Genomic DNA, 22,579 nt, shown 5'->3' with positions numbered 1-22,579 from the left:
TGGAGGTAAATCCCAGAGAAACCCAGCTTGGGAAGGCAGATAGGATGTGACATTCCAACACACCTGGGGTTTCACAAATTAACCTTTTAAAAAACATGTACCCTGGAAGAATTTGAGGTTCACAGGGAGTTGCAAAGGGAGGCCCTGTGGACCCTTTGCCCAGTGCCTACAACAGTTGCATGTTACAGGACCGCGGCACAATATCAAGTGAATGAGGTCATTTAAATGGGGATCCATAGAAGGCGCACCCACCCTCCGCACCTGCCAGAGACCTGGCCTGTCATACGAGCCGCGTCAGTGTTTGGTGAATGATGGGCGGACACTCAAAGATGGTCAGTCCAGACCCAAAGTGGAAATGTGTGCGGTGGCTGTGACGTCTTTGCAACAACTTGCCACAAAGGTGACAAACACAAAGGCAAAGGTGACAAACACGAAGGATCCATGGTCCTAAGACCCTCTTTTTAATCCTGGGTTAATTGGGAAGACGCATGTCAGATCATGCCCGTGACGCAGATGGCATCAACTGTAGGCCCTTCCTCCAGCTATTAAAAAAGAAGAGTTTCTTTATAGACCCAACTCTGACATGTATGAGTGTTAAAAAAAAAAAAAAAAAAAAAAGTCAGAAAGCAAAGCCCACTTAAAGGGCTATCTGAGAGCACCACCTTGTTCTAACAGAGACTTAGTTTTGGTTTGCGACATTTTCCCTCCTGTTGTTGAGGCAGAATGATGTGCTCACTTCCACCCTCCAAGCTGAAAACACAAGACTTATGATGCAAAATCCAGCTTTCCCATCTGGCTGAGCTGGCCCTGCAGAGGTGGCCTGGTGAGAGCCTGGGGGGTGCTGGCCTCCCAGCTCCCAGACGGGCGGAACCACCGGCTGACGGTGACAGCCATGGCCCTTCTGGCCCTTCCCAGGTGGAGCTTGGGGAGCAGGTGCAACATGCAAGAAGCTGCCCTACCGCACCCACCTGGCATGAGCCTGGCACTGTGTCTCCCCCCCCCCCGCCATGCCTCCTGTCCATGCCGCCTCCCTCCATCCATGGCTTCTTTCTGGCAATGATCCTGTTAAAGCCACTAGAATTTTTTAGAATCTGCTCTTAGTAGCAATTCAGAGCAGAAAAGGATGGAGGACTCATTAGTGCTGGCCTTGAGCAAAGTCACAAACTCCAGAGGCTGCGGGACCATGAGTCCCGGTAAGGCTGCCCAGGTGGAGCTGCCAGGACTGTGGAAACCGGGCAAAGAGGCTCCTCCACCCCTGCTGGGTGTTCCACGCGGGAGTCCAGGTATCTCCACGAAGCACCTACTTCTTCAATGTAACAACCAGGTATAAAGCAACTGCCAGCCAAACAAAACCCGGGTGGCCCAGGGTGGCTGAGGACTAGGCCTTCTGGGACCCAAGCCAAGAGTGAGGTCGCATCCCACTCAGAGGGTCCAGACTCAGTGACATCCACGAACCCACAGGTCCTGCCGGGAACGACCGCCCCGTCCACCCCTCTGCCTCCTGAGCTGCAAACACAATCCATATTCAAACAGTCAGGCGCACCCACATGTAACAGACTTGCCACGGCTGATGTTTGAAAATGGATACACGCAGGACTTGGGGGAAAGCAGAACCAAGAGTGAGGTGCAAGCGAGTCCCGGCGTCACCTGCCTTCGATGATGAACACTTCGAGGCATTTTACTGCTAACATTCACTGACTTCTGTCTAATATGTCTGATTCATAGGAGCACCAAAGTGAATTAATTATAGTTATTAAACACTCTTTGTTTGATAAGAAGAGAACAGATGCCTTGCGGGCGTTTCTGTTGTAAGTGGAGGGCAGCAGGGCCACGCTCCAAGGCAGGGGAAGACAAGAAGGAAAGACGGGGAGGGGCGGCCTCTGGCTCCCATGGGGGCTGCTGGGCCACCCAGAGACGAAGGTCAGAGAAAGGAAGGTCGCCACGTCACCCAAGGCTCAGCCGGCCGCAGCCACCTGTGGGTGTTTCCATCCTTAGCTCCGGGGTGGAAGACCGCTGGTGCAGATCCCCGAGGAGCTGCCCCCTTGGGAGCGGGTATCACAGCCGGAAAAGCAGGAGTCCAGAACCCTGCTCAGCAGCTTTTCCACCACTGTGCATGGAATAGACAACTCAGGAACAGAGACAGGCTTGGGGAGGGGCCAGGAGACACGGTGGGGACAGACTGAGGAAGCCAAAGGAGAAGGTGGAGCTGCTTCCTTTTCCAGAGGCTGCAGCTGCAGCCCTGCCTCTGCCCGCCCACTTCACCCAGGCCTTCGCTGCAAGCAGCCTGCCCCAGCTCCTGGGCCGGAGGCCCACCCCTCCTCCTGCCTCCAAGCCTCAGATGGCTGAGGCCCACCCTCCTCCTGCCTCCAAGCCTCGGATGCCTGAGGCCCACCCTCCTCCTGCCTCCAAGCCTCAGATGGCTGAGGCCTACCCTCCTCCTGCCTCCAAGCCTCAGATGGCTGAGGCCCACCCTCCTCCTGCCTCCAAGCCTCAGATGGCTGAGGCCCACCCTCCTCCTGCCTCCAAGCCTCGGATGCCTGAGGCCCACCCTCCTCCTGTCTCCAAGCCGCTGAGACCCTTCGCTCACTTGAAAGCCAGGCCAGAGCTCCAGGAAGCAGGCAGCTTCCTCCAGGCCCCACTGAGCAGACCCCTCCCCAGGTGGGGGGCAGCGCAGCCCCTCTCTTCCCTGCACTTGTTCTTTGTTTCTTTTCATTTTCTTCTTTTTCTGCCTTCCCTGGTTTTAAATGAGCATTCTATAAAACTCTGTTTCTCTCCGTAGCGGATCAATTGTGCTTCTTTTCATAATGTTTTAGTGGTTGCCCTAGAGTTTGCAATCTACACTAACCCGATGTACAAGAATCCAAGTCCACTTTCAAACCCCCACGAGTGTCACGGGTGGTGCAGGGCCTCACGTGGCGTGTCCCAGGCCCTCCTTCCTGTCTCTTGGGTGTTGCTGTTATTGATTTCACTTACCAATCAAATACATTCTGGGTGCTACGACCGTGAACAGTTTAGTGTTAGACTGATTGGGAGCTACTATTGGAGTATGAGGTTGATTCTCACCATGAGTTCAAGACCAGCCACAGCAGCCTGGGGGCCTGTTAGAAACGCCTTGAGGGTGAGCCGCTGCTCCGGGGGCCACAGATGTAGGGAGATCTAAGGGTTCACTCTGAATTGTGGGGACACCTTCTCCGCATGTCACTCCCCCCTACCCTGGTCCTCCCTGGGTTCACTAGGACAGGACAACCTCCTCCCTCGGCCTCACCCACCAGGCCTGTCTGCCTCCATGTCCACTGTGGGTGTTGCTGCCTGGGAGTGGGGGGGTGGTATTTCCCCCAGCTCTGACTATCCAGTTCCTTTGTTCCTGGGTACTTGGGCTTTTGACAGCTCTGCCCCAGACCCCCAAGCCCGGGCCCCAGCTGGTGCTGAGACAGGAGGGCTCCTGGGCCAGGACATGTATGGGGTGGCGAGCCCCTGCCCAGGGCCACACTGGTGTGTATAACGACCTGGGCCACCCATCCTTTGCTCCTTGCAGGTACTCGGCCTCCTGAGTTTTGTGCAGGGCAGGCTCCCGGGGTCCTACCCTGGACACTCATCCCACCCGGAGCCTATAGATCAGAGCACCCCAAGTGGAAGGAAGTGTCTCTGAGGTGCCTGGGCACCTGCGAGCTCAGAGGGAACAATGACTCAGGGATTGCAGCTGCGATGGAGCCCTCTCTAATAGAGAGATCTGGAACTCGGAGGGGACAATGACTCGGGGTTGCAGACATGTTGGATCCCTCTCTAATACAGAGATCCGGAGCTCGGAGAGGATGGTGACTCGGGGGTTGCAGGTGCGATGGAGCCCTCTTTAATAGAGATCTGGAACTTGGAAGGGAGGATGGCTCGGGGGTTGCAGATGCATTTGAACCCTCTCTAATAGAGAGATCTGGAAGCGAGAGCAGCCTCCAGGGGAAGCAACAGCCAACAGCGCAGCCAGATCTTAGCACCTGCAGGAAGGCTGGAGCTCCTGTGCCTGGCTGGGGTCCTGGGAGACTTATTAGCTGGTGAAATAATCAGCTGTGTGGGGCCCTGTTCCCTTAATCCACTCTGCTTCCCTCCAGTAAAGGGTCATAAAGCAGAACCACAAGACACACAGTGCCATTGGCTCCCACCGGTGACGAGCCTCTAATTCACTCCACATGTGTCCTTCCCAGGCCCGGCACCGTGACGTAGCACAAATGGGCACAGCACTGTATTTTTAAAGGATTAGGTTATTTTACTGACATGGATTTAACACTATTGATTTTTGGCCCATCACAAATCCCATGTAGCTCCACATTTTACTACGAGGTGAATGCTGCATTTATATTCTTAAGCATTCTGCAAATATCTTCATTTTGATCGACGTCCCTTCAGCAAAGCACAGATGTCAATGCACAAAGCCATGGAAGGCCCATCCAACTTCTGTAGATCTTTCCAGGACAGTTTGTCTTCTCCTTCACAGTAACCTTGAATAGGGCAGGAGAAACTCTGCCCCACGTTTTCCCCATCTGGGGAATTGGAAGACTACTTATCTGCCTCCGCAGAGATCCTTTAGAATGTTTTTTGGTAAATGAGAAAAAAGGGCAGAAGACTAATAGGTTAAGCTCGGCATTATTAAGGTGCTTTGAAAATAGTCTTGTGGTTGTATCTTTATAACCCCTAAACTATAGAAGTTATTCAAAGATACATCTGCGAAGTGTGTACAGGTTACCATTTGAGGTTCTGTGGAAGCAACCCGTTTGGGGAGCAGAGCCTCCTTCTGCGTACGTAATTCAGAGCATGTAGGAGAATCAACCTTGTTTTGTTAGCAGCTAAGTTTGTGTCAAAAACAGATTTGCATGAGATAGGATGAGAAGGAGATCTGACTCCTGAAGAGGAGGGTGCAGAGGTCTTGTCCACGCAGCCCTGGGTGGGAGGGATGATCCCTCTGGGTGGACCCTAAAGGACTGAGCGTGCGTTTGGCATAAGCCCAGTCATTAGATTTGCTCAAATATTGCCAGGCGTCTGCTCTGGCCCAAGAATGGCTCTAGACTCTGCAGATGCTCTAAGACACATGCCTCTGGGGGCCTCAGCTGTACTCAACTGCTTTGAGGTGTGTCCAGTGCATCCCAGGTGGGCGTTTCTGGGCAGTGACAACATGGAGCGCTGATGGTTGTGAAGGCTGGCAGCCTCCACATGCACCTGTGTCCCAAGCCTCTGCACACAGCCTAAGACCTGGGCTGGTTCTGTCCTTTCACAGCTGAGGCACAGGACTTGCCCGCAGCCACACAGCAGCTTTCCTGGAGGAATGGACCCCTGCCTTTGGCATCACCTCCTATTCACGAATGCAGGGGACGATCCTGGGAGGAGAGATTTTCTGAGGTTCAGTTCGATGCAGAATGGCAGGTGACCTGGTCAGACACAGGGAAGCACATCTACCCACCCAGGAGAGTGGCTGTGGAGCCCAGAGGCCCCTATGACCATAGCTAGAGAAGCCTGACGACGCACACTGACCCACGCCTCAGCCAGGGGAGGCTGCGCCCCACAACAGCCACACACCTGACCACACTGGCCATGCACCTGTCCTTCCCAGCATGCACCTGCCCACCCCAACACGCACCTGTCCACCCAATCACAAACCTTTCCACCCCAGCATGCACCTGCCCACCTCAGCATACACCTGCTCACTCCAGTCAGGCACCTGCCCACCCCAGCACGCGCCTGCCCACTTCAGCACGCGCCTACCCACCCCAGCACGCGCCTGCCCACTTCAGCACGTGCCTACCCACCCCAGCACGCGCCTGCCCACCCCAGCACGCGCCTGCCCACCCCAGCACGCGCCTGCCCACCCCAGCACGCGCCTGCCCGCCTCAGCATGCATTCCCAAGCAACATCCTAACTAAGAGTGCAAACCCTGCTGTGTATCCCAAGCAAGAGCATGTCAGAGAGCACGGTGGGTGGTTCGTCTCCAGCCAGTCTTCAACCACCTTCATGTCATCCACACTTTCCACCAAAGCAGGGCTCAGCTCCACCAGCCCCTCTCACTCCTCCAGGGTGATGTGGCTTCATGTGGTCTGGGTCCCTTCAGGACTGTTCACGATATCTGAAGCTGTCACCCTCGAGCCTCTCACACTCTTACAACAAGGTGATGTTCAGAACCACGTCCTCTCCAGGCACATGCAGCCTTGGAGCTCGGCTGCTCTCTATTAGCCACACACTTCACCTGGGCTGTGCCGTTCACCGACTGCATGCAGGTGATACAGGTGACCCTGCAGGTGATGGGACAACCTGGTCCCTGAGGACAGGGACTTGTGCTGGCTGACCCTGCAGCATCCCCATGCCCAGGACAGAACAGGGCCTGGCCCACGAATGAATGAATGAATGACCCACGGAGGCTGCTTTCAGAGCTGACCAACTGATGGAACACACTGACAACCTAACAACAAAAGCCAGCGGAGCTTCTTGGCCAGTGGAGCTTCCTGGCCGGTGGGCACTGCCTTCTGCTTCCCCTTCCTGAAGCTAGGGCCCAGCCAGAAAGTGGGCTTTCATCCCAGAGAGAGAGGAGAACACGGCAGTGGTCAAAGAGGCCCCTTGTCCTGGGACAGCCATGCCTGGAACGATGGCCGTTTCTTTTAACTGGATCCTACTTGCCTTGTCACTCTCCGCAAGGCTGAAATGAGTGTTCTGTGTATGTGTGTGTGTGTAAGTGTGTGTGTCAGTGTGTACTTTAAAAAATGATATTTACATACTTTGTGTCAATGAAGTAATATATCATCCACTGGAAACTACAGGGCACATACAACTTTAAAGCACAAAAATTACACTCACAATCCCAACCCTGAGAAGGACCCTTGGTGATTATTTTCAGGTGTGTGTCCAGCCGTTTTCCCATGTGAAATACACACAAGCAGACATATACACATATATGCCTGCATACATAATTACGTGTGTGTACCTACCACACATACACATGCTATTAATATAGTTACAAACGTAATATCCTTGTCAAGATAACAAGCAAAACTTGACTCAGATGAAGACACTGAAATTCCACCCTGGGACCCAGTGTCGCCTCCTCCCCACAGCAGCCAGCACTGGGGACTCCGCAGACGCGTTTCCATGGGCTCAGGCCCCCGTGTCCCTGTCCAGAGCGAGGCTGGCTCAGGCCCCCGTGTCCCTGTCCAGAGCGGGGCTGGGTCTGCCCGTCTCAGAGGAGCAGCTGGCCCTGCACAGCCCCTTCCCGGGCTGCAGCGTGGCCCCCAGTCTGTGCTGGTGCATGGAGAGCTCTGCCCACTGGTTTAACGGCCACTGGCGCTGGCCATCCTGGGCAAAGCTGACAGTGGTGAGACCACACTCCCTACAGAATTCGTATCCTGCTTTGATTAACTTAATTTCCTTTGTAAACTTTCCTTTGTAAACATTTTTAGGAAGTTGTTTTTGATGCCAAACGAACCTCGGAAATGGACTAAGAGACACCTAATGAATAAAACTGTGGAATAAATTACAAAAGAGCCAGGTGAAAAGTTAAAGAATCTTACATATGACTGTGTTTTGAAGATTATATTGCTTCTCATACAATGTAAATACACAACTAATCAACAATTAAAGTTTCTTAAAAAGTCTTGATTTTTCTCCCTCTCCCTCTCCCCACGGTCTCCCTCTCCCTCTTTCCACGGTCTCCCTCTGATGCCGAGCCAAAGCTGGACTGTACTGCTGCCATCTCGGCTCACTGCAACCTCCCTGCCTGATTCTCCTGCCTCAGCCTGCCGAGTGCTTGCGATTGCAGGCGCGTGCCACCACGCCTGACTGGTTTTCATGTTTTTTTGGTGGAGACGGGGTTTCGCTGTGTTGGCCGGGCTGGTCTCCAGCTCCTAACCGCGAGTGATCTGCCAGCCTTGGCCTCCCGAGGTGCTGGGATTGCAGACGGAGTCTGGTTCACTCAGTGCTCAATGGTGCCCAGGCTGGAGTGCAGTGGCGTGATCTCAGCTCGCTACAACCTCCACCTCCCAGCCGCCTGCCTTGGCCTCCCAAAGTGCCAAGATTGCAGCCTCTGCCCGGCCGCCACCCTGTCTGGGAAGTGAGGAGCGTCTCTGCCTGGCCGCCCTTCGTCTGGGATGTGAGGAGCCCCTCTGCCTGGCTGCCCAGTCTGGAAAGTGAGGAGTGTCTCTGCGCGGCCGCCATCCCATCTAGGAAGTGAGGAGCGTCTCTGCCCGGCCGCCATCCCATCTAGGAAGTGAGGAGCGTCTCTGCCCGGCCGCCATCCCATCTAGGAAGTGAGGAGCGTCTCTGCCCGGCCGCCCATCGTCTGGGATGTGGGGAGCGCCTCTGCCCCGCCGCCCCGTCTGGGATGTGAGGAGCGCCTCTGCCCGGCTGCGACCCCGTCTGGGAGGTGAGGAGCGTCTCTGCCCGGCCGCCCTGTCTGAGAAGTGAGGAGCCCCTCAGCCCGGCAGCCACCCCGTCTGGGAAGTGAGGAGCGTCTCTGCCCGGCAGCCACCCCGTCCGGGAGGGAGGTGGGGGTCAGCCCCCGCCTGGCCAGCCACCCCGTCCGGGAGGTGAGGGGCGCCTCTGCCCGGCCGCCCCTACTGGGAAGTGAGGAGCCCCTCTGCCCGGCCACGACCCCGTCTGGGAGGTGTACCCAACAGCTCATTGAGAACGGGCCATGATGACAATGGCGGTTTTGTGGAATAGAAAGGGGGGAAAGGTGGGGAAAAGATTGAGAAATCGGATGGTTGCCGTGTCTGTGTAGAAAGAGGTAGACATGGGAGACTTTTCATTTTGTTCTGTACTAAGAAAAATTCTTCTGCCTTGGGATCCTGTTGATCTGTGACCTTACCCCCAACCCTGTGCTCTCTGAAACATGTGCTGCGTCCACTCAGGGTTAAATGGATTAAGGGCGGTGCAAGATGTGCTTTGTTAAACAGATGCTTGAAGGCAGTATGCTCGTTAAGAGTCATCACCACTCCCTAATCTCAAGTACCCAGGGACACAAACACTGCGGAAGGCCGCAGGGTCCTCTGCCTAGGAAAACCAGAGACCTTTGTTCACTTGTTTATCTGCTGACCTTCCCTCCACTATTGTCCTATGACCCTGCCAAATCCCCCTCTGCGAGAAACACCCAAGAATGATCAATAAAAAAAAAAAAAAAAATAAATAAATAAATAAATAAATTCAAACACTGGTAACCTTTGGGAGAGTAATAAAGGGAGATCATTTTTTATCCCCCCCCCAAAAAAAAATTCTTGATTTTTCTTTGGCATTATGGGAAAGGAAAATGTATTTTTTTTTTTTCATTTGAAAAAAATCACCCCATGAATTAATTCCTAAGTATAACCCTTGGGAATCTACCCAGGAAAAATTCAATTTCAAGATTCCATGAATTTGAGTGGCTTTTCTCTAATGCCAATGGTGGGGATGTATGGAATCGGGTTTTTCTGAAGATGATATGGAAGTATTTATTAGAAGCATTATCAATGTCCATGCATCGTGACCTCAGACTCCTATTTTTAAGAATGTATCTAAGGAAATAATAGACAAATGCAAAAAAGATTAAAGGTGTTCATCCCCATGTTATTTATGAACTTGAAAAATTAGAGATAACTCAGCCAACCGTCATAAAGGACGCTTAAATAGACGACAGTTATCTCATAATGGTGAATTCAGTCATTTAAAATAGTGATGTAAATGTATAAAACAGCAGGTGTGCATGGTTACTGCTAAGCGACCAAGCCTCGTGCTATTTAGTATGTAGGGTACGGTCCCACTGCAATAAGCGAAACCACATACATAGCTGCGTATACAAAGGAGTAAGAGGGTGGAAGGAACTGTTCGAAGGTGTCACCATAGTTTCACGTGGATACTGGGGTTCTGTAGGATTTTTATTTTCTTTCCAGTATTTTCAGCTCTTCCTATCATGAGTGTATATTATGTACTTTAATAAAGAGACGGTGACATTAAAAGCGCTGGCACGTGCACAGACCCCACGGCACCTGGCTCACTCTTCCTCCTCCCTGGGACCACAGGCTGCCGTCCTGGCCGAGGCCATCTTCTAAATAAATGTGTGGAAGAGAAACTGTTCTTCACCACCCAGTGGGTCCATCACCTCCTCCTGCGGGACTCTCCTCTCCCCTGTGACTTTCTATTGCCTCAGTAGCAGGACCATTGCAGGGCCTCCCTTCCACCCCAGAGCTGGGGCCCTGCCTGGCACGCCCAGCCCCGATGGCTTCCCACCCACAGCCTCAAAGACAGAATGACTGAAAATCGGAATGCCATTTTTTAAACAATTGTGTTTAACATTAAGACAGAGAGAATCCTGAGAAAGATACTAAAACCACGATATCACTAGAAAATAAATGAATATAGATAAAAAAATAATTGGGAATTATTAAATTTGGAGGAGAGGAGGTTGGTGCAAGTCCCCTGCAGCAATGCTGACCAGATGGCCCCCGATGGCCACCTGCGAGGTGGGGCCGCCTGCCTGAGGTAACAGGGCAACTAAATGGAGAAGCCAGAGTCCCGGTGCAGGTGTGAGTCCAACCCACACACTGCTCAGGGCGCCCCGTGGCCTCCAGGCGGGGGCTGACCGCACCTAGGACCCCTGTGAAACAGGCTGCCGGTCATAAGGGGTGGGAAAGCGGCAGAAGGAGAGGAACGCCGCGACAGGCACAAGGGTGCTCCCGGGAGGCCCCTGTACGCTTGACTCGGGGCTGGGACATGTGCCTTTGGGTGACCTGAGCAAGACTCAATATCCCTAGAGTTTTGGAAAATGGCACAGAAGGGGCACTCGTCCTTCCCTGAGCGTTGAGACCCTGCAATCAGAACTCACTGCCATGGCCAAGCACGATGCTAACTCACTCACACAAGCACACCAGTGCACGGCCAAGCATGACGCTAACTCACACAAGCACACCAGTGCGTGACCAAGCACGAGGCTAACTCACTCACACGAGCACACCAGTGCACGGCCAAGCACGGTGCTAACTCACTGACACGAGCACACCAGTGCACGGCCAAGCACGGCGCTAACTCACTCACACAAGCACACCAGTGCACGGCCAAGCACGAGGCTAACTCACACAAGCACACCAGTGCCCTCTGTGCTGCACGCCATGGGTTAAAACCACCTTCAGTAAAGGTTCGATGTTAGCCCTGGGTGGAAATAAATATGGGGCCACTGAAGAGCATAATTATATAGATAATCTGTGTATGGAAGTGTTGATTAAACCCCCTGCTAATATCTACATGAAATACATCTCACACCAGCAAGAGAGACGGAGCTAATTGTTAGCTCTTGGAAAAACTAGCAAAATACTACTTATTTCTGAATTAGCATCACTAAAGACCTGTAATTATTGTTACCTTTAAGTATGGAAATAAACCTTTTAAAATACAATATAAACTCAGTATATGGGTGGATCATCTATGCTGATTCTAGATGTAGTTTTTCTAAAGGTGGGGAAGCTACTTGTCTCATGCCAGGGTGTGTCCTCCTGGCTGTGCACAGGGCCTGATATACAGTAGATGCTTAGTAAGAGGGAAGAAATGTTTAATAGAAAAGCTTCCTGGCTAATATGAAGATACACCGGTTAATGACAGTATCAGCCAGCATTTACCCACGCTTCCAGATACGCAGTACATATATATCTTATGCATATGAACTTATAGAAACATACAGCCCATTAGAGAAGACAAACATGGCATTTATTCCACAAGTAAGTATATACAGATTGCTGCCTCTGTGCAAGACAGCACTAAGCAGTCACTGGTGAACAAAACACAGACCCTGTTTTCACGCAGCTGGAATCTTGAACAGTAAACGAGGTCAGCGGTGACCAGAGCAGGGAGGGCCCCTGTGGAAGAGATTCTTCTGATTTCACTCCAAATGGGATACAGAGCCGCTGATGGATTTGGAGCAAAGCAGTCACATGATCTAATTTTTGGTATAAGAATATTGATGGGCCGGGCAGCGGCATGGAGGAGAATACACTGGAAGAGGCAAGAAGGAGAGGCAGGTAAGACTGGGATAGCCGCTGACTGCCCATTTAGGAAATGTGCCCAGGAGAGTGGAGCTGCTGGCACAACCTGGGGAGACTCAGGGCTCCGGCGCAGGCAGAAGGCCCGGCATCCTCTGCAGTGAGTTTCACACTCTCAGATCCCAGGCCACAATGCCTGGAGCCGGGCCATAGCTCAGCGTCCTGGAGGTCAGACACAGGCTAACAAAAGGTCCTGCCTCAGTCTTCCTTCTTTCAGGTGTCACAGCCCAGGAAATAACGAGTGAGTCCAGGGCCAAGGGACTGTCCTGGGAGTAAGAGATCACAGACCTGCTCACGGCCCGCCATGCTCTTCTTGCAAGCTAATCACAAACACAAACGCTTCCTGCAAGCTGCTCTGCGGTTTCCAAATATCCAATCTTCCAAAGTGGATACCGAGCCCCCGTTCAGCCACGCGCGCTCCCGGCAGGAGTCAAGCCTACAAGTCTCTTCCTGCAGGAAGCGATGCACCTGTCATCAGTGCCGGGCTCCTTGATTCCCTGTCTCCACCGCAGAGATGTCAGTTTTTCACTTTCGAAGGAGAGTTTCATGACAACTGATAAGCGGTGACCTGGATGTACAACTTCCAGAATTTCAAAAATGAATTCAGTGGAGTAGTGTGCAAGGGAAGGTGGTTTAAAAAGAAGTGAGGGAGAAAGTACAAAGGGTTTAGAGGAAGATCTATGCCACACACCTGGCCTACACGGCCCCAGGCAGCGGAGCCCAGCACGCCTCTTTGAACTCTCTGCCAGACGTGCTCCTCTTGACCCTGGGCTCTGGCCACAGGATGGGTCTGTGATGCAAAAGGTGAGCGTGCGTGCTCGGGGGGCCCTGTGGGGTCTTCGCCCTTGATGTAGTTGGAATCTGGCAGCCATAGAAGGGGGAAGAGCCCACTGGCAGACACACGTGTGCAGGTGAGGTTGAACAGGGCTGGAATTAGTCAGATATGTGACCATCACTGTTATCAGCTCATGCTGAAGGCAGAGCTAAAACCATGAAATCACTAGAAAATAAACGAATATAGATAAAACATAATTGAGAATCTTAAATTTGGAGGAGAGGAGGTTGGTGCAAGTCCCCTGCAGCAGGGCTGACCAGATGGCCCCCGATGGCCACCTGCGAGGTGGGGCCACCTGCAGGACAGACTCCAGGACAAACTCCTTCCCATAAAAGTAGGATTCCTGCAAACCTGTAGTCAGCAATCGCAGTGCCAGACACTGTTCTAAGCACTTTACATGTTAACACACTTGGTTTTCGTTATCAAGCTGGGAGAGGTGTGGCCATTGCTATCCCCGTAACACATGCAAATACTGGGACCCAGAGTGGTGGTTTGACTTGGCTCAACATGAACCCTGGGAGCGCGCCTCAAAAAGCTACCTTTATGCCCTGCAGCCAGCAGCTCTTCTCGCCATTCACCCCCTGCAGTGGTTCTGATGGTAAAGGAATGATGAGAGACTCTCCAACATGGGAAATGGGAAAAGGATGGGCGAGAGCAAGCTCATCATAGCATTCACTTCCAAATCCCCACCCCATACTGTCTAGACGACAAAGTGGGGCTCGGCAGAGCTGGCCCTGTGAGGAGCTGCGGACCCGGGTGTGCCTCCAGCTCGGTTGGACCTGAGGTCTGTGTGCCTTCTCCACATCACACTGCCGGCCCTCAGAGGTTAAGTGAGAAATCCTGTCTGCACAGAGGAGTGAGTCCTTATACATAATGCAAGCACAAGCAGGCTCTGATAATCACCAGCTGCGGGTGCCTCTCCAACCCGGGCTGACCCTTCTTCCTCCCTACTGAAAGCCCTGACCTTCTCACTGCCTCCTATTCCCACATTCCATCAGAAAGACCCAGACAATGAATTAGCATCTTGAACAAGTCTTCATCTTCCTTTTCTGTTCCCTGCAATACTCAATCGATGGTGTGGTGTGGCCGGTGCCTTCTGCACCTGCGCTCCTCTGAGGGCAATGGCAGGCAAGGGAAGTCAGAGGTGGCTGGAGCCCACGCCTGCCTGCAGTGAGTCGTGCCCCTAATTGGGAAGCGTCTCCTCTTCTGTCCTGGCACCCAGCAGTCAGGGTTCCTGCCGGCCAACCTGTGTCCATCCCCCACTCACTCGGCAGGCCGCAGCCCCTGCAGGGGTGTGCTCATGACCAGTGTGGCCTGAGACTGCCAGTCTCGGTTTGTGCTTCTGATAATGGCTGCTGTTTAACTGTCCCCTGGGGGCTGTTCTCCCTCTGAGTCTGACACATTGCTGTACTGTCCTAAGCAAACACCCATTCAGAGGCAATAGATGGGTCAGGGCCTGTGATCAACTCCCCGTGGTACCTACAGAGCAAGCACCCCACAGACACAGAACACCAGCCTGGCTCTTCTCCACATTTGGAAAACCAGCAGTAGCCTCCCAGATGGGGATCAGCCTGGTGGGGAAGATCTTCCCCACCCATGTACCTAAAGCCCCTTGACACCTTGTGAGGAGAGAGAGGAGAGGGGGAGGGAGGGAGAGGGAGAGGGAGAGGGAGAGGGAGAGGGAGAGGGAGAGAGAATATGTGTGTGCATACTGATGTGTTTTTCCTATTAGATGCTTTGACTATCACTTTGAGATACAAAGACATAAAAGCATGTGTTTCTGGCATTTGACAATTTCATTTTACTTCTGCAAATCACCCCTTTGGCTTTTTACAATTCTATGTGAATCATGTTTTTGGACTTCTGCTAGGACAAGTTGCGCTAGGGCAAAGCGTGAGGGAGATGCCTCCAGGCAGACAGCCAGGTACCACCCGCAAGGAAGGGTGTCTGCAAGGGGACTTTGGTGGCTCTGGATCCAATCACCTGGGGCATGAGACCCTGATCCTACCCAAGGCTGAGCTGCTGGGAACCCAAGGGAACCTGCTTGGGAACACGTGCCTGGCGCTATACTGGCTGGATGAGGCATCTCCTTCCCTAAACATTCGTGTGGATGGAGAGGACAGGCTGGGTGGGTGTCACCCTCTCTCCCTCCAAGCATCCTGTGCTCAATTTTGCATAATTGTCAAGAACAACAAGAATGGCTGAAGTGAACTCACTAGGCAAACGCTCGAGAGCCCACTCCCTGGAGCCTTCACTTTCCCAGTCTTCCCGAATCACAGACAGTGTGTTTTAACCACACTTGCAGTTTTGAGCCAACGTGGAAGTTCAGTATTCCAGTACACTGGAATCAGAAAATGTTCTAATCAAATGTTTAAGGCTGGATTTAGCCTTAACTCCTTAGCAAAAGCTTTCCTGTGGTTATTTAATTCATAGCCCTTCCTTGAAGTGTTTCTGCAGAATTTTTAGTGCTCTTGGCCTTAATGAACTGGAGGCTGATGTGTCTGGGACTCAGGGAGGCAGGCGAGCAGCCGGGGCGCCGAGGCCTGATCTGTGTCTGTAGCCCTCACCTGCCTGCAGGAGTGAGAGCAGAAGCTGCTCAGAGCCCCAGGGCACGGCCCCTCTTTACCTTCGTCCCCCCAGGGATCCCCCACAGCAACCCCGTTCTCTCTACTTGACAATGAGCTGAGGCCCAGAGGGGGTGAACGGCTGGCCCAGGGTCACACAGGTAGAAGATGGCAGAGCCAGGGTGAGCCCAGGTGTGTCTGACACCCATGCCCACAGCCGGTGATCACTGTGCCCTGGTCCTCTGTGTGTGTCCCTTCAGAAGGGTGGCTGTCAGGTGGCAGGAACATGCCTGACCAGAGCTCTGAACAGGGATGCTGAGCAGGTGCGGGCTGAATAAACACTCACGGAAGATGGCCCAGTGTGTGAAGGCCTGGGGACCAGAGTGTCAGGAGGTTTAAATTTCAGCCGAGTTCCTGAACGGACATCCAGGCAGCGTGAAGAGGCCCCTGATCTAGGTGCCGGGTTCTTTAATGAGCTGACTTCCCACCGCGGGAATCACACTGCATGCTCGGTCCTCTGAGCTGAAAGGGGTATGATTCCAAGCCTGGTGGAAACCATGACCTGGGCTGTGAGTGACCACACAGACTGTTAGAATATTTCTCCTGAGCTCACTGCATGCTGGGGCTGGGCCAGGCCCTGTACACACAATATTGCCTGTGAGTCTCAGACATGTGCACTGCAGAGCTGGAATCCAGACTGGCTGTCTGCCCTCTTATCCACCACCCTCAGGAGGAAGGCGCTATCTTTCCCTCCACCTTATAAGAGGGGGCAGGACTAACTCTGGGGTCAGAAGACCTGGGTTTGAGTCATGGCTCCATCACACAGCAGGCTGTGTGATCTTGGGCAAACTACCTCACCACTCTGTGACTCAGTTTCCCCCTTAGTGTGTGCAGGTGATAACCACAGCACCCTGTGGTTCTGGGTGGTTGAAGGGGGGTGAAATAGAGTGGGTGTGCAGCTCTCCGCATGGTTCCCTGCACTGCAGAAGCACCAGGAAATGTTAGCAGTTAATTTTTTTTTTTTTTTTGAGACAGGGTCGTACTCTGTCACCCAGGCTGCAGTACAGTGGTGTGACCATAGCTCACTGCATCCTTGACTTTGGGTTCAAGCTATCCTCCTGCCTCAGCCTCCTGAGTAGCTGGGACCACAGGTGTGTTGCCACCATACCTGGTTAACTTTTAAAAAAAATTTTTGTAGAGATGAAGTCTTACTGTGTTGCCTCAGCTGGTTTCAAACTCCTGGGCTCAAGTGATCCTCCCACCTCAGCCTCCCAAAGGGCTGGGATTATAGGTGTGAGCAGCTGCACCTGGCCGGCAATCACTTTTTAACTATGAACTTGCTGCTCAGAGAGGTTAAGTAACAGGCCCTAGGTAACATAGCACAGCCATGCAGGGCAAAGCTGGAATTCTAGACTTGGCTGTCTCTTATCCACTGTTCCAAAAGGCAGATGGGATCAAGAGTTACAAGCACACAACAATGGAAACTGTTGGCAACACAGGGAAAGAATGCATCTGAAAACCTAGTAACTAACTTGAGTGTGCTTGAATTTGGAGATGGGGCCTCCAAGGAAGTATTGAAGGTTAACTGAGGCAATAGAGTGGGGCCTTTGTGATGAGTGACCTTGTAAGAAGAGACTCCCGGGAGCTCGCCCGCCATGTGAGCACACAGAGAGCCGGCGCCCACAGCCCAAGCTGAGAGGCTGGTCTGGAGTCGGCTGACGGGGTCCCTTCCTCAGGCCGCACGACTCAGCGACTCCTCCCTAAATGCTTCTCTGTTTTGGATCCAGCTCACAGCATGTGTTTTCTGCAGGCTGGACAGGCCGGGGAGGAGGGTTTCCACATCAGCTTGTGGACTGCTGTTCCTGGCTGACGGTGGGCTGCCCCTTCCTATGCACAAAGTATTTCAGAACTCCACGAAGCCAGGAACGGTAGGGCAGAGCCCCACCACATAGACGGATTGTTGATGTTGTTGAAGAAGCCCCTCTGGCCCTGGCTTTGCCCTGGTTGTGGAGGCAGCGGGTGGGGCCTGGGGAGACCGCCCCTCCTGAGCCCGCTCCGTGACCTTGTGCTTCTCCTCTGGCTGGTAATCATCTCATCCTGGCAGTTCCCCTTCCTGGAAAGCCCGCTCACGTCATTCAAAGCGGGGGCTCTGTGGCTCCTTTATTGCAAGTATCTGGGACCAGGACTTGAGGGGTGCAGGGGGAGGCCAAGGCAGGATGGTAGAGCTGTCGAAGGCACCAGGCGGGTTCACTGGCCTTGGCTTTGAGCCTCTGCTCCCCGTCCTCGAAGGGCTCTGCGCAGCCCTGTGCATCTGTGAGGAGGTGCTGACCCTGTTCCACCCTCAGGAGTGCTCCGATGATTAAAACGCGCCTGTGACGTGGCCTCCCTTTTTGAAAGAACTTCACTCAGTCTCCTCTGGGCCCTCTTCTGGACGGAGCCTTGACCTTGGCCTGCCAAGCCTGGTTTTGGCAAAGCTCAGCTCATTCACTGAAACTCTCCTCCACACTCCTGATATTGGATCAAGTTCCTCATTCCCCACCCTTGGTATCTAACTGCTTGGCCTGCCTTTAGCAAGAATCCCCACCCTTGCTATCCAATCCTGTTCCTGTCTGTAATTTTCCATCCCCTGACCCCTCACTCTGCTCACTGGCTGTCAACCCTCAGCTGTCTTTGCTGTATTCAGAGTTGAATTCTACCACTCCCTTCTAGCAAAATTCTCCCAGAAAGTCTTCCTTGCCTTCTTTAACTAGTGTTGGAATCATTTATTTTTTTCTGGACTCATGTAGCAGGGGCTCCGCCTACTGGGGATGCCCCAGTGCCAAAGCACATATGACGAGGGGAACTCAGATGGATTAAGGAAAGGGCGGGTCCAAAGTTAAAGAACATGGAACAGAAAACCGTGAGGATCTGGTGTAGCAGCAGCTGGCTGTGTACAGCATTGCTGATCAAAGAAGAGCCACCGTGGCCAATGACAGCCACAGAAAACAGTTTCTGAGCTGGTGGAGTCCTGAGGTCTCAAGAGGAAGCCTGGTCCGATTACACTAAATGCTGTGTTCTTCAACACACATGGGACACACGGGTGAAGGAGAGATGGGACATGCACCTCTTGGTCCCCTGACACACTCAGGGCATTAGTGCACACGTTTCCCTCTCTCCAGAGGTGTGGTGGGCAGAATAATGGTCCCCCTAGTGGCCTTGCCCTAATCCCCAGAACCTGTGAATTTGTGACCTTACACGGTGCTATGGTTTCAATGTTTGTCCCCTCTGGGACTCATATTGAAACTCAGTTCCCAATGTAACGGTACTGAGAGGTGGGGCCTTTAAGAGGTAGCTGAGTCATGAGGGCAGAGCCATTCGTGGATTAACAGACTAATAGGTTATCACAGGGGTGGGGTCGTTACCACGAAAGTGGGCCTGTTATAAAAGCCAGTCTGGCTCTCTCTACACCCCCCCTCCCTGTGATGCTTTCTCTCATGTTATGACACAGTGCATGGCCCTGACCTGAAGCCGGCCAGATGCATCTGCCTGGTCTTGGACTTCACAGCCTCCAGAACTAAAAGAAAGACATTCATTTTCTTTATAAATTTCCCAGTCTCAGCTATTCAGTTGTAGCAACTGAAAATGGACTAAGACACATAGCAACTAGGACTTTGCACATGTGACTGAGTTAAGGATCTTGAGATGAGGGGATCATCTTGTATCATCCAAGTCAGTCCTAAAAGTAATCACAAGGATCCTTAAAAGGGAAAGAAGGAGGCAGGAAAATCAGAGTAGGAGATGCGAGGATGGAAGCAGAGGTCTAAATGATACATTTTCTGGCTTCAGAGATGGGGGAAGGAGCTACGAGCTGAGGAATGCAGGCAGCCTCCAGAAATGGAAAGGTAAGGAAGTGGTTTCTCCCCTGGAGCCTCAATAAGGAACCAGCCCTGCAGACACCTGGATTATAGCCCTGTAAGACTTCTGACCTACAGGACTGTGTGGCAATCAGCTTATGGTAATTTGTTACAGCACAATAGGAAACAAAAGCAAGAGGACTTTTATTTCTGCCTTCATTGGGGGATTCTTAAGGATCATGCGGTTCGTGTCTGCCTGTGCTTCAAACTGCCCACCAGATCCTGTTGTGCTCCAAGTAAAACCCCAAGTTCTCGCCTGCAGATACAACCTGGCTCTGGCCACCTCTCTGTTCTCATCTTTGATCACCTTCAACAACCCTCCCCCTTAAGCCTTCTGTCCTGCCCACACCTGCTGCCCAGCCTGGTAAGCACTTCCTTCTGTAGTGTAGACCTCTCTGCCACCCACCTGCTGGTTCCCCATTCCACACCCCTCTGCCATCCACCTGCTGGTTCCCCATTCCAAACCCCAGGGTGCCCTAGGACTTCCGTGGGCCTCAGGCACTTTTGCCTTGGTGGCCCCTTCCTCTAGAACAATAAAATTAAGAATTATATTTCATTCATGACCGTATTGGTAAAAAGATGACTACAACCTGGGCTAGACCATACTCATTTTTTCTTTCTGATTTTAAAAGAAAACATTTCAGAGGCTGCTAAATATCACGTGGTCCTGGGTGCTGTGGTGCCTGGTGGGTCAGGCAGCCCCATCTGATCCCAAAGCTGTAGGTGTCCTGGGTGCTGTGGTGCCTGGTGGTGCCTGGTGGGTCAGGCAGCCCCGTCTGATCCCAAAGCTGTAGGTGTCCTGGGTGCTGTGGAGCCTGGTGGGTCAGGCAGCCCCGTCTGATCCCAAAGCTGTAGGTGTCCTGGGTGCTGTGGTGCCTGGTGGGTCAGGCAGCCCCATCTGATCCCAAAGCTGTAGGTGTCCTGGGTGCTGTGGTGCCTGGTGGTGCCTGGTGGGTCAGGCAGCCCCGTCTGATCCCAAAGCTGTAGGTGTCCTGGGTGCTGTGGAGCCTGGTGGGTCAGGCAGCCCCGTCTGATCCCAAAGCTGTAGGTGTCCTGGGTGCTGTGGTGCCTGGTGGGTCAGGCAGCCCCATCTGATCCCAAAGCTGTAGGTGTCCTGGGTGCTGTGGTGCCTGGTGGGTCAGGCAGCCCCATCTGATCCCAAAGCTGTAGGTGTGGTGGGATCAGGGCTTTCTGGACACCCACTAGGCAGCTGGAAACATCTGCTAAACCAAGGGTGCTGAGGTGAGGGATGTATTCTGAGCCAGAATGAACTGAGGTGGCAAAGTCTGATGATTCCTTGAGGGCTCTGGGGTAGCAGGGGGTTGGGAGGAGAAGGCCTGGTTTGTGGGAACAACTGAGAGAAGGGGCCGGTGGGCTGTGGGGAGCTGGAGGGGTGGGCTGTGGGGAGCTGGAGGGGTGGCCCACCCTGCTGAGCTCCCTTGGATCCTCTGTGCTGAGCGGATGAAAAGGGCCAACCTTCTAGAAGCCTCTGAGCAGACATCAATCATGAAATGGGGAAAGGGCTGAAAACTCCCCCAAATCACTGGCACATAGCTACATCGAGGCTTTCCTCTCCCCAGACCCTGTGCCAGGCTGCCTTCTCCCTCTCCGGGGTCCCCTTCCATCCTGCCGCCTTCCTGTGCCCCACCCTGCCCAGCGCCTGCAGCTGAGAGGGCAGCACAGGGCTGGGGAAAACATGGAGGTGCACGTCCCAGGGACCCACCTGGGCCTCTGGCACCCACCTGCCCAGCCACGTGCAGCAAACGTAGCCACCAGCTACCACCCTCCAGAATGCAGGCTGGGCGTTCCCACAGCAGGCCCAGCTGCCTTGCCCGGCACCACTCGCTTCCCCCATCTCAGAGCTGGAACTCGCAGTATTAAGGAGTTATTAGCAGAAACGGAACCAAGAATCACCCAAAGACAGACCAACAGCGTAGCCCACACTCCCGCTACCCTTCAAACATTAATCAGTGTCTCATGTTTAATTAATCTCCGCTGAGTTTGCTGGGTGATGAAAGCAGAATTTTCCATCAGTAGGAAAATCATGTATGGATTCAAGGCTGCTCTATAAATTCTCTGCCAGCAAATTCCTGCCAACTCTTAAAGATGCATCTCCAGTCCGTCTCGAAGCATCCCTCCTCTCCTCCTCGAGGGGTGTGACCCGGACTCCAACCTACAGATTTATTTTTACCTGTCTCATCATGGTGGCAGTATTCCACTCACATGACAATAGCTCCTCCCCTTCTCTAAACCCTCCTCCAATCCCCCTGAACAGCAGCAGCCCCCTCATAGGCCCCGGAAGCCAGCACAGGGCTGGGTGGTTGGTCTACACTCGGAAAATGTGTCTACTTGCATGCTTGTCTTCTGAGTCAGATTCGCATGTATGCACGTGCACATTCATCTCTGCAGCTGGGGCCCTCATGCACCCTGGATGGTGTGGGCTACTGCATCGGCCGTGAGCCAGGCCGCCGAGGCACGTGACGTTGCTGCTGTGCGTGCTCTCTGAGCTGGCTTCCAGTCTCACCAGGCCGCAAGGCTGGCCTGGGTTTCCCTGCTGATAATGTCACAAAGACCAAGAAGAGTCAACGACTTTGAGCGCACGCCTTCCTCCAGTTAGAGAGATCTTGCTATTTTCTCTGGGATTTTATATCAAAATATACCACTAACCATCAGAAGCTGTGGAGCTTCATGGGGAAGCCAAATCTATGGCTTTCTTTTTCCCATCAGCTCTCCCAAGTGAACTATCCACTAAGATAAAACAACAGAACTCCTATAAGACAGTAATTACTTCAAAACTGAACAGAAGGCAATTATGACGAAGCCGAGCTGGGTTTGGGTTCAGCATCTGACACAGCGGCTCCAAGATGACAAAGATGGGCATTTTCATTGTGAGATAGCCAGATAATTTTCTGTTCACAATGGTATTCTCACTATAAAAAGGACATAAAATAATCGGCCAGCTGACCTAAAGCCCACCAAGAAATAAAGACGCTGTTCACAGATCCAAGAGTCCCCACAAAGCTCGAGCCTTCTGCGCTGCGTTAAGAATATAAATAGCCAGAGGAGACCCAGGTTAGGGAAACAGCCTCTTTCTCTTTAAAACCATGCAGAGTCAGGGCCCGTGTGCAGGCAAGCACTGACGCGATGTATCCCTTCTGCCCCACAATAATGTTGCACTCCGGGTCTCATCAAGATGACCTCTTAGGCAAGGCTTTCATCAAGTCCTTAAAGAGGTTATGTGGAGAAATTAATATC

General features: G+C 52.8%; 1 protein-coding gene across 5 annotated transcripts in view, besides 1 other annotated feature; it reads right to left on the bottom strand.

Moving 5' to 3' along the window:
- The window catches only part of CDH4 (cadherin 4), a 688,357-nt gene that overhangs the window by 278,529 nt on the left and 387,249 nt on the right, over positions 1-22,579 (bottom strand). The gene's annotated exons all lie outside the window — the stretch shown is intronic.
- Positions 5,520-5,700: a silencer, noted in NCBI's record as "fragment chr20:60231445-60231625 (GRCh37/hg19 assembly coordinates)". NCBI's record gives its function as "represses an EF-1alpha promoter that drives an FKBP-Casp9 reporter gene in an ReSE screen in K562 erythroleukemia cells {active_cell/tissue: K562}" and the evidence as "EXISTENCE:reporter gene assay evidence [ECO:0000049][PMID:32094911]".

Source organism: Homo sapiens, chromosome 20 (genome assembly GCF_000001405.40).
Source record: "Homo sapiens chromosome 20, GRCh38.p14 Primary Assembly".
Taxonomy (NCBI): Eukaryota; Metazoa; Chordata; class Mammalia; order Primates; family Hominidae; genus Homo; species Homo sapiens.
The sequence above is the reverse complement of the archived record's forward strand: the minus strand, read 5'-3'. Positions and strand labels throughout refer to the sequence as shown.